Source organism: Homo sapiens, chromosome 12 (assembly GCF_000001405.40).
Source record: "Homo sapiens chromosome 12, GRCh38.p14 Primary Assembly".
Lineage (NCBI taxonomy): Eukaryota > Metazoa > Chordata > Mammalia > Primates > Hominidae > Homo > Homo sapiens.
The window spans coordinates 3,885,538-3,898,154 of NC_000012.12; the positions used below are offsets into that span (position 1 = coordinate 3,885,538).

The 12,617-nt window shown below is 42.8% G+C and overlaps 1 long non-coding RNA gene across 1 annotated transcript in view; it reads left to right on the forward strand.

The window, feature by feature from the left end:
* Positions 1-12,617, forward strand: part of PARP11-AS1 (PARP11 antisense RNA 1) — a 40,211-nt gene that overhangs the window by 15,366 nt on the left and 12,228 nt on the right. The window lies entirely within an intron of this gene.

Genomic DNA, 12,617 nt, shown 5'->3' on the forward strand with positions numbered 1-12,617 from the left:
GGGGAAGTCTTGCCTAGATGACATTTGACCTTTGGGGTTTCTTCCAATCCAGATATTCTAGGGTGCAGAAAGGAGTAGTGGTCCCTCACAGATCGCCCAAAATGGATTTTTTCCACCTAATTGGAAAATATGCTCATTTCTAACACAAGATGGCGCTGGGACACAGGCAAGAACGTTTCTGATTAAAACAAAACCAAATGAAACAAAACAAAACACAAAGCAAAACAATCCATGAGCACAAAAGTTCTAATAAGCCAGAGAATTATTTTGTTTCTGGACAAGACCAGCTTTTGTTGAGCACATTTTAGAACAGCTTTCTGGAGTAGCAATAATCTAATTGAGCTGCTTTACCCTAAATCAACCAAATGGTCAGGACTGAATTAAAGTAGTACAATGTATCCTTAGGAATAAAGTATTTAAAAAGAACTCTAAATCCCTTAACTACGCAGGGTCAAAACCAGAGATAAGTGGTCAGGGGACTTAGTTGAACACTATCATCAAAAGTGATGTCTTAAATTCTTACTCTGATATGGGATGGGGTCTTTACCAGTTGAATAATTCTGATATGAATTCAGTTGCCTTAATAAAATTATCTTTTTTTTTTTTTTTTCTTAGAGACAAGGTCTCACTATGTTACCCAGGCCGGTCTCAAACTCCTGGCCTCCCATAGTGCTGGGATTACAGGTGTAAAGCACCGTGCCCAGCCTCATTTAAAATTAAATGAGCTCTTCTACTTCATAATAGAGCAGATTGTTTTAACTTGTTTGCACTTATTTGAGGATTATTTGATGAAGCAATTGAGGAATAATTCACAATTTGAACTATAACCACCAAACAAGTTCTGTTAAGCTAACACCTAAGTTGAGTTTTAGTGTTGTTTTTTTGTTGTTGTTCTTTTGTTTTGTTTTGTTTTGTTTTTGAGACAGAGTATGGTTGTATCACCAAGGCTGGAGTGCAGTGGCATGGCTCACTGCAGCCTCAACGTCTGTGTTCAAGTGATCCTCCTGCCTTAGCCTCCCGAGTAGCTGGGACTATAGGTGTGCATCACCATGCCCAGCTAATTTTTTATTTTTTGCAGAGATGGGGTATCATTGTGTTACCCAAGCTAGTATCAATCTCCTGGGCTCAAGCGATCCACCTGCCTCATCCTCCCAAAGTGAGAATTTATTGGGAAAGGAACTTATTATCTGTCTTCCTCCTAACCCCCACAATAATCTCCTCCACATGAACAAGTGGTTGGCCAGTCTGTTTAGAATCTTGTAGTAACAGCAAACTGACCACTCAGGAGAAGCAGCCCATTCTATCTCTAGACGGTTCTAAGGTTAGAATAGTCTTCTTTAGATTAAGCCAAAGCATGGCTCTTTATAATTTGTGCTCATATATCTCCATTCTTCCTTTTAGAGGAATGCAGTATAACCTTCTTTTGTAATATGACTGCTCCTCAAATTTGTGATGATTTGGGCCTTCTCAGTCAAAAACAGCATCCGTTTCTGCAGTAATTTTTCATATGACATCTTTTCTAGCTCTATCTTGGATATCTTTCTTTGATTTATCTTAAAGTGTGTTCTGATCTCACAGCCAGTGGGCCTATGTTAGTTGCCTGGATTTAAGTAGTATGCTTCTATGAATGCAGCTGAAATTTGGTTAATTTTCTGCACAGTTATGTCACACCGTTTTCCCTTTAAAGCCCCCGGTCAACTAAAACTCCCAAGCCACTAATGTGGATGTAGCAAAATCTACCCGCCCTTACATAAACAGTTGACGTTTAGAATTAAAATGCAGACGTTACGCCCTGTGATACCATGAGGATTTCAGTTCATAGCTGTGGGCTGTTAAAATTACTTAGAGTAATTTCATTCAGACTCTGGTGCCAGACATACCTGGATCCAAAAGTTTGTTCCTCCCTCATAAGCTATGTCATCTTGGGCAGTTGACTTGATCTCTTAAAACATCAGCTTTCTTATCTCTAAAATGCAGATAATATTGCTACTTTTCTCATAGGGTGGTACAATTTATATGTGATGATTTCGTGCAAAAAGTATATTTAGCACAATTCATGGCACGAAGTAAGTTCTCAATAAGTGTTTATTGTTACTATTATTAGTATTAGCCCATCATCCTTCAAATCAACTATCCCTCCTTGTCCATGTCATAGGAATATCTGACAAGCATGTCCTCTAAGGCAGATAAAAATATTACTGTTAGGGAAATTTAAAAGACAGAATCTGCATGACTCGCCACCATAGTTTCCCTCAGGCTGGTCTACGAACTAATCAGCACCATGTAGGTATAATTCCTACCCTAGCCATGGTTGCACCCACTGGCTATCAGCCAGTTCATGTCTTATGGCAAGGTAATTATAAAAGTTCTTGTCAAAGGCCATGCTGAAAGAAAGTATGGTTTTGATGCCTCTTCTTTCTACCAATCTAATATCCTTATCAAAAAAGGAATAAATGAAGACATGTTTTGTTTCTGAGGTTTGGGGTTGGCTCTGAGTGATCTCTGCTTTTCTAAAGACTTACAAAGAGTCTATTTAATAATCTGTTCAGTTGATGGGTTAAAGTGGTGAAATTGTGGGTTATTTCCCCCTTCTTTCTATTATTATAATAATGTTTGTGGAGTAAATAGCCTTTTAAAATTCTGTTCTAGAATTCTGCCAGGGATAATTGTCAAGCTGACTGGCTTATAGTTTTTATAATATGCCCCTTTCCCCCTTTTTGAAAATGGGGACAACTCTGTCCTTCTCTTGTCTGTTAACAGTTCTCCTATTCTCCATGCTTTTTCAAGGATTATTGACAATGGTTCTGGGAGTTCTTTGAGTAACCTGGGACGTGATTTGTCTAAGTCTGGAGATTTGAATTTATTAAGGGGGGTGAAAAGAACACCACACTCGTTTCTAGCTCTGGCTTTGCCATTTACTAGCTGAGTGAGCGTGGGCAGGTTTTGATTTTGTTTTAGCCTAAATATCCCCATCTGTGAAAGAAAGCATTTGTATCAGATGAAGTTGAAGGTCCCTTCAAGGTCTAACGGCCTATGTTCTATGTCTCAAGTAATCTGACATTTTCTTACTAAGTTTTCTCATTTATCCTGGCTTTTAGTTTCCCCTGAATAAAATGTGTCCTACCCTTTTTTTATTTTGAAATGCATTTTGGCTTAGAATTCCGATACCTCAGTGTGACGCTCAGGGTGCAACACTCTTGGTCCCCACTTTTTAGTCCAATTTTATCTCCTACTTCTCCCAGGTTCAAACCTGCTCTCCATGCAGATGGACTCAGCCACTCTTTCTGAATATGCACGTGCATGTCCCTCCCAGTCCTTCTGCTAAGGTTACTTCCCTAAAGTAGAATATCTCCCGGCCACGTCTCTCAGTCAGATTCTACCCCTCCTTTAAAGCCCCGTTTACTTACCAATTCTCTTTTGGGAAGTGTTTCCTAACTACTCCACATCATGATACACTCCTTTCTCTAAATTTCTTTCTTTCTTTTTCTTTTTTTAAATTTCTTTGTGACAGAGTCTCGCTCTGTCCCCCAGGCTGGAGTGTGAGATTAAATTTATGTTAGGCTAACATGAGCTTTTACTTATTTATTTATTGTAAGACAGAGTCTCACACTTTCACCCAGGCTGCAGTGCAGTGGCGCAGTCTCGGCTCACTGCAAGCTCTGCCTCCCAGGTTCCTGCCATTCTCCTGCATCAGCCTCCCAAGTAGCTGGGACTACAGGCGCACGCCACCACGCCTGGCTATTTTTTTGTATTTTTAGCAGAGACGGGGTTTCACCTTGTTAGCCAGGATGGTCTCGATCTCCTGACCTCATGATCTGCCCGCCTCGGCCTCCCAAAGTGCTGGGATTACAGGCGTGAGCCACTGCACCCGGCCCTCCTTTCTCTAAATTTCTAATGCATTCAGTGCAGATCATCTGATACTAAAAAATAATATTATCTGTGACATCTGGGTGTGGAAATGTTGAATTGTATTGTTATTGATCTGCATGTCTTGGGGGGTCCTCTCTCCCAGCTCTCCTTGCCTTTCCCACATTGAGTACTGTTCTGGGGATGCTTAATAAACATGGAGAAATACTGAATGAATTTGAAGCCATTATATATAATTTTTCTGATCAGAGCATTTGGGTAACTATGTAATACATGGTAGTTTCTCTTTCAATTTAGGAGTAACAGAAAGGTGAGCCATTGCTCAGGTAGCTTAATACTAGAAAGCATGTTATTTTAAAACGTATAATAATCCTTTATCTGAATAAAAGGATTTATTATACAATTGATAATGAAGTTCTTAAACTAGCTCACTTTCCTCCCCTGTCACCATAGATAAGGGATTTGAGAAAAGTTGCAGAATACACACAATTACTAATTGAACTCATCGATGCCAACCCTATCCTAATCTAACTTTCCCTATATTGGCCAAGACAGCCTAAATCTTTGGGTTGGAGGCCAGGTTTACATTTTATCTAAAAAGTGGCATAGTTACAGTTTTTAATAATAGAGAAACTATTTTTGTGTGTTCGATATCATACCAGATATACATCCCAGCAGACATGGATTGTTTAAATATGTGAGCGCGTGGAAAGGGAGGATTGGCCTCCCTGACCCCCAACACTGTGAAATGCTTGTTCCTAGTAAATTATAAGTTGCAATAAGTCAGTTAACACCGTAGAATCACACCATTGTCCTAATAGTAAAATAGCTGTGAGAAAAGACTTGTGATAAGATTGTAACATAGGAAAAATAATGCCTTTCCAAAAATCAACAGTGCACAAGCTCACAAAGCATGCCAGAAACAAAGCAGAGACAAGAAGTCATTCAATTGTTCAACATGTGCTGCTGAGCATCTACTGTGTACCAAACCCTGTTGAGAACATGGGCATTAGGGACGTGGAGTTATATAAAAGATATATAGGCCAGGCACGGTGGCTTACGCATATAATCCCAGCACTTTGGGAGGCCGAGGTGGGTGGATCACGAGGTCAGGAGATCGAGACCATCCTGGCAAACACGGTGAAACCCCATCTCTACTAGAAATACAAAAAAAAAAAATTTAGCTGGGTGTGGTGGTGGGTGCCTGTAGTCCCAATTACTTGGGAGGCTGAGGCAGAATGGCGTGAACCCGGGAGGCGGAGCTTGCAGTGAGCTGAGATTGTGCCACTGCACTCCAGCCTGGGGGACAGAGCAAGATTCTGCTTCAAGAAAAAAAAAAAAAAAAATATATATATATATATATATATATATAGAGAGAGAGAGAGAGAGAGAGAGACAGAGAGAGAGAGAGAGAGAGAGACCTTGCTCACAAAAAGGTCACATGCCATCTTAAGGGAGAGACAATCAAATAAACAGATCACACTCCGTGGGATGACAGGTGCTACAATAGTGATTTGTGTCTCCACTGTGGCCAGGGGCTGATACCAAAGGAGAAATGCAGGACAAAGTGAGGATCTTATTTCCTGGGCGGCATGCCCAGTCCAGCACTCACAGACACCCTTCTTCCTATTCCAGAGTCCTCCTCACACACATGAGAAGAGGCTCTAGCTTCCTTTGTGGTCACTACCTCTAGTCTTCAATCACCAAGAAAAAGTCAGGAGTTGAAAGGCCAAACCGTGTACCATTATAAGCAAAGCTGCAAACTGACAAGTCAGTCCAAGGCTTACAAAGCAGTGTTTGTACGGTGCTTTCATAGGCTTGGTTGGGGGTGATAAGTACAAATTTCCCACGCAAATATATGTAAAGCTGGTGTTTAGTAAGCTTGTAATAAACGGGAGTGTTTATAACTGCTAAACATAATGATAACACTGGAACTCTTTACAAGAAAGCAAAACTAAAAGTGTGTGAAGAAACTGCCCGGCCACGTGCTGGGCTGTCCCCATCATCAGGCCCGGGAACGTAAACTCCTGCACCTTAGCTCCCTCGTGATCGACAGTCATCCAGAAAGCATATCACCTAAGCCACATCTCCCCCTTTTCCCAAAGCCCTGTCAAAGCTCGTCACTTTGAGTCAAGGAAAGCACTTGCCCTGGGAAGTCCTTCCTGTGAAGCCACCCTTATCCCTGCCATGCCTGAGCCCCAGACCCTCAACCCACCTCAGCCTCCGTCCAGTTACAAATCCCAGGCCAGTCCATCGCCTGGACTCTGGCTTCCCCACCCAGTTTCTCCTCTTCTGCTCTGCCTTGTCACCTCCTTTCCTCCTTGCTCTCCTGCTGCATCGCTCGGGAAGAAAGCCTGCTCCCCGAGAGGCTGGGCAGCAGAGGTACGACCATGCTCTCCTTCTACCTGAGAAAACCCAGGCCCAGGGAAGCCTCGCCCCTTGTCCAGGGTCACATTTCTTGTAAGTATTACATACTAAATATGTAATACATGGGACATGCAGGGACTTGAAGCCATTTCATTCTACTGTGAATAGTAGAATATTATGTTTCAGGGTCTAGACCCGAAGTCATCAGCTCCAAGAGGAGACTCTAAGATTTCTCATGGTGACTAGAAGCCTGTTAGAACACCTCCTAGAGACACACAATTGCATCCAGACTTAGAGGCATGTGGGAAAAGTAAATAAGAAAGGGAATGAGGAAAGTAACACAAGATATCATTTATATGTTCTGCTTCAAATTGTCTTTTCTGAGGGGTTTTTAGGACACAATACATCACACTTCCCTGTCCCTTGTTGTATTCAATCTTTCCAAAAGCTATGGCAGTAATGAAGGGTCTGGAAATGTCCTTCCACCTGCCATGTGAAGCTTCCAGCTGAGCTACAAGGAAAACCTAGACAGACAATCTTGAGAACCACGTGGGTGCACCATCACCTCCAGAGTCTCTTGGCCCTTTCTCTCCGTGATCTCGTCCACTCCATGAGTCCTTCTGATGTCATGCTAGAACTCCCGTAAGATTGTGTGCTTGGTCCTTAGAGCCTCCGTATGTTTTTCTTTCATTCCATAGGAGCACTATTTCAATGGGTATGGCCTCACACCCTCCTCCTGTCTCCATTTCCTTTAATCACATCTTAAGCCCCTGCAATTGGGCATCTGCCCAAACTCCTCTTCTGTACCTGCTCCCTCAATAGCCAGTGACCTTCTTCCCAAATCTGGTGATATTTCCAAGCCTCCCCTCTTCCCAGGCCTCCCTGAAGCAGGTGGCCCAGCTGATGTCTCCTTCCTTCAGGAAATTGTCTACATCTGGTCCTCTCTTGCATGCTCAGTTGTATTCCCTTCTTTAGGGAAGAAAGTAGGCTATGAACTAGCAAAGCAATGCCCTATTTCTGCCTTTGCTGCTTCCTGCTCCACCCTGACACATACTCTCACTCTCTCTCACTCTCTCTCTCTCTCTCCCTCTCTCTCTCTCTCTCTCTCTCTCTCTTTCTCTCTCTCACTGCTCCCTAAGTCCCTGAGTGTCGGTGTCCTGCAAGTCTCACTCCTTGGCCTGCGCTCTCCTCATTCTCAATAGGCTCATCCAGTCTCATGATTTTAGCCTTCAGCCCTGATGGCAACTCCCAGTCTTTGCTCCTAACTGTGACTCTCAGGTGTACTCTGTCTCATGGTTTGTTTATTTATTTATTTATTTATTTATTTATTTTTGAGACAAGGTCTTACTCTGCCCCCAGGCTGGAGTACAGTGGCTCAATCATAGCTCACTACAGTTTGGATCTCCCAGGGTCAGGCGATCCTCCCATCTCAGCCTCCCAAGTAGCTGGTACCACAGGCATGTGCCACCATACCTGGCTAATTTTTTTAATATTTTGTAGAGATGGAGTCTCAAGATGTTGCCCAGGATGGTCTCGAATTCCTAAGCTCAAGCTATCCTCCCACCTCCGCCTCCCAGAATGCTGGGATTATAGGTGTGAGCCACTGCACCTGGCCCTGTCTCATGGTTTAAAGCATTCCTCCACTTGATGTCTTTCGGATTCAGTTACAAGGAGGGATAAATACACTCCTTACCAACCAAAAGCTCCATGAGCCTTTGGACCTGGCCCTTTGAGTTCTATCCTGCCACACCCCATTTTTGGCTTGTTGAGGAGACCAGCTATTGCTATCGGCTTCTGTCAATCGACTTACCAGTCACTCTGTGTCTCGCTTTTATACCATTACCATGGATGAGGTAGCTCTCTTCCTGACAAAGACCACCCTGTCCATGTGCGCCCCAGATCCCACCACTATCCTAGCATTCTCCCCTCTCTTCTGAATCATCAGCTCTCCTCTCTATACGGGATGAATCCCATGAGCCTTCAGACCTGCTCCCATCTTACACATGCACGCACGCACACACACACAGGACACCGCTCTTAACCCCACTTCCTCCCGTTTCTCTCCTTCTCTACACAGCAAAACTCCTCTAAATAGTTGTTCTTGCTCACCATGTCAGACCTCTCTTCTCCCACATCCTCTGTTGGAGTCATTCTAATTAGGACTTCACAGCACCCAGGCCCTCCTACTCTCTCTCCGATGCACAAACCACCAGCGCCAAAACTGTTCTTATCAAGGTCACCAATCATCTCTTCACCATGACATCCTATGGTCATTTCTAAGTCCTCATCATCCTGGACACCTCAGGTAACACATGGCACAGTTGATCTCTCCATTCTTCTGGAATACATTTTCCTCACTTGGCCTCTGAGAAGACTTCCCCCCCAGGTTTTCCTCCAGCTTTCCTGGATACTCCTTTCCAGTTTCCTTGCTGATTCCATCTCAGGTCCCCACCTTGTAATGTTAGAATGCCCAGAGCCCAGTACTCCGATCTCTTCTTTTTTCTAATTCTACTCTCTTCTTTGGTGATCTCATTCGGTCTATGAGTTTTAAACATAATCAATATGGTTTTGATGCCCATGTTTATAATTACACATGCACATGCCCAATTGCCTATTCACAATCTCTATTTGAATGTTTAATCGGTATCCGAATGTATCAAAAAACAGAACTCCTGGTCTGGATGCCAAACCTGCTCCTTCCACAGCCTTTCCCAGCTCGGTTAATGGCCATGGGTCTGGTTGCTCAAGCTTAAACCCTTAGAGCTTCCTCTCACATGTGCTCTCTCTCTTTTGATGCCTCTGCAAATCCTGTTCACTTTACCTTCAAATTATGTGCAGAATAGAACCATGTTCTGCTGTTTCCAAGGCTACTCCCTAGCCCAGCCACTATGTGACAGCCCCCTAACTGCTCTCCCGCTTCTGCCCTAGCTGCCTACATACTATTCTCAACAGAATTCTCAGTGTTATCCTGTTCAACTATAAGCTTGATCATGTCACTTCCCTGCCTCCCAGGATAATAAGAGCAAAAATCAGTATTCAACACGATGTCCTGCAAGTCCCTCCACAGTATGGGCGCTTGTCACCTGTCAGACTCCATGTCTAATGGCTGTCTCTTTTGCATACTCTGCTCCAGCCATCCTGGCCTCTGCTCGCCCTAAAACATGCCGGGCACAGTCCACCTCGGGGTCTATGCACTTGTTCTTCCCTTCACCTGGAATGCTTTTCTTCAAAAAATCCCCATGGCTTGCTTTCTTACTTCCTTCAGGCCTGAATTGAAATTTCACTTTCCCTGTGAAGAGGCCTTGATTACCTTCTTTAAATACCCCCCTCTCCCAGCCTCAAAGTTTCATAACCATCAGTTACCCTGCTTGATTTTTCCCACAGTCTTATTACCAGTTGACCAAAGATATTTACTTACTTGGTTTTTTCACTTGTCTATCTCTCCTTACTGAAATGTAAGTTCCATGATGGCAGGGATTTTTGTCTGTCTGGTTCAATTCTGAATTCTCATTGCCTAAACTGTGTCCGACATGTAGTGTGTGCATAATAAATACATATTCACAGAGTGACTGAATGAATGGATGGATCTCTCCCTTCAAAATGATATTCAGATTCCCTCTATAGTCTTCATTCTAACTACCAGCCCCCATTCTGGACTTACCCCTTGAGGTCTGTGTTTCTGTGATGTTCTATGCACTGGGTATCCCTCTAACACCAGAACCAAGATGAAAAAACAGATTTCCTGATCCTCAGCCTAGGTTCTGTCCACTCTATGATCTACGACGTGCATATTTTCAATGGTCTGTTAGTGGTGTCTAACCACGAAGGCAGGCTTAGCCAGACATTCTGATCGTGCCCAAGAGTCCTATTTAGAAGGTCATATGAACAGGCTCTCTTGCCCATACATACAGGCTTTAAAAAGTTGAATGATGTTCTTGTTAGACTCTGTGGTTTAAGAAACACAGTGCAAAAGGGAGTCCATTATTGGGAATGGAGGATCCTGGGACAAGCTGAGTGAAACAAGCACACTCTTTTTCGGAACCTCTTAAGATTCTGGGAGGCCCTTTCCAGGGGAATAATAAGGCCGAATTGAGTGCAAGAGACATATCTTTGATTTTCATAACCTTTGCTCCCTTCTTTTCCATATGGCAGAAGGCTTTCTCTCAGAAACCAGGAAAAACAATGGAGTATCAGCATAGCCTAAGGCAGTGCAAACTCAAACATCTAACAGGACCAAGCGGGGAATATAAATGAGGGGGAAGGTGGGGATTGGGGCAACCTGGAGAGGGCAGATCGCCACTACTCCACTTGGCCAATGGTTTCCATGGGGGAAATGTAGGGCCAGAGGTTCTCAAAAGTAGCTAGGATTCTAGAAGTGAACGTAAAATCTCCTAAGTTATAAATGTCGGCAATAAATCTAAACATTTTTTTAAATGCCATAGGGTCCAAAAAACACATCTTTGGGTGGAATGGTTTTGTGAGCTGCTTACCTATACCCGTAATGTAGGAAAAAGCACATGAGCAGTCCAATCACACTGCCTGAGTTTGACCCTTGGTTCTACCCACTGGTTTACAAAGTTACTCTAAGTCACTTAACTTAAGCTTCATTTTTCTCCATCTCTAAATCAGGACAGTGCTTCCAGGACTGACATGAAGATTAAATGAAAGAACGTAGTTGCTACTCAATATTAATTGTCCTTGTTTTTTGGATCTCTGCTCCCTCCCTTTTTTCTCATTGCACAATGAACTAGAAAAAACAGTTCCTCCACATTCTTATTTAAAGCAAACTAAGCAACGCTTTTTATCATTTGTCAGATTTTTTTTTACCATGATGAGCCTAAATACACTGTACTGGTTTCTAATCAGACCTCATTTGCAGCTGTGATTTTTGTGGTGGTTGTTGTTGTTGTACTATTTTGTTTTGTTTTGTTGTTTTGTTTTCAAAGAATGAGAGGACAGAAGAAGCATTAAAGCAACATTCTTTCCAAAATTAAATTCTGGCAATACAGTCTCCAGTGATCCTGACTAGGAAGCAAAGGGAAGACCCCGAGCCAGCAGGGGAAGCCCTCCAGCACTCTCAGGTTTTCAAAGAGCCTTTACAAAAGCACTAAGCAGGGCACATCACCGGAGAAGAAAAGCAAAGAGTGTCACAGGCTTGTAGCCATAGTGTTAGCAAGGCTGGGGCTCAGAATGAGCTGAGACTTGCAAAAAATGCTCAGGAACAGCAAAAAGAGCTTTGTGCAAGTATATTCTGAGCAGGAAGAATAGGGAAGGGCCAGATCCTGTGCTTGGGGCAGATGGTGTAATGCTAGCAGATGACAGATACAAAGCAGAATTATGCAACTCCTACTTAGCTTCCATCATCTCTATCTCTCAGAATGATCTTCAAACTGGAAAGAACAATATAAACACTGCAAAGAAGCAATTGCAGCCCTAGTTATGAAGCTCTTTAGAAAATGAATACCTGGGCTCTCTAAATAAGCTTAGATCTCCAGGCCCTGACAAATTCCATCCCTGGGGACTGAAAGAATTTGTAGATTTAATCATAGAATGATTGTCAGTAATCTTTCAGGAATCTCAGGAGTGATGCCAGAAGATTAGTGATGGGCAACTGTCCGAGTTGTCAAAAGGGGAAATATGTAGGTTTGGGGAACTTTGCACTGTTGAGTTTAACTTTGATCCCCAGCAAACTGTAAGCTGCATTATTAAGGAGTTAGATTACAATCGCTTTGAAAAGGAAGTGGTAATCTCAAGAAGCCAGCACAGGTTATGTAGAACAAACCATGTCATACTAACATCACTTCACATTTTTTTCTTTTTTGAAAGATTACCAAAACTCTCAAGATTGTCCCAGAGGTAGTGAATCTTTCAACAGGGCTTCCGACAACACATTTTATGGTACAATGAATGGATAGGGCCTGGGTGATCTATGGCTTGGTGAAGGCACAGCTAGGCAAACCATTGTATCCAAAAAGCACTGGACAGGCGGGGCCAAGTCAACTCAGAGAGAGGTGTAGCACAAGATGCCGCTAGTCCTTGTTTGGTGCCCGGTTCTGTGAAAATCCTTTCAATGACATGAAAGAGATGCCAACATATAAATATGAGTTGACACAAAATGAAGAAGTCTAAGTAATATGCCGCATGACAGAAACAGGATATGGTGGTTTGCCTGAACAAGGAGCCAAAATAAGCATGATGGAATTTAATGGAGAAAATGCAAGTTCTTCATATTGATTAAAAAAAAAAAAACTCAGTTATTCAAATTATTGACAATAGTTAATGGGAAAAAGTCTTGAAGATTGTAGTTAACAAAAAGCCCAACATGAGCCAAAAAATTCTGACATGGCTACAAAACAACTAGTGTTTGCCAGGTAGCATAAGGG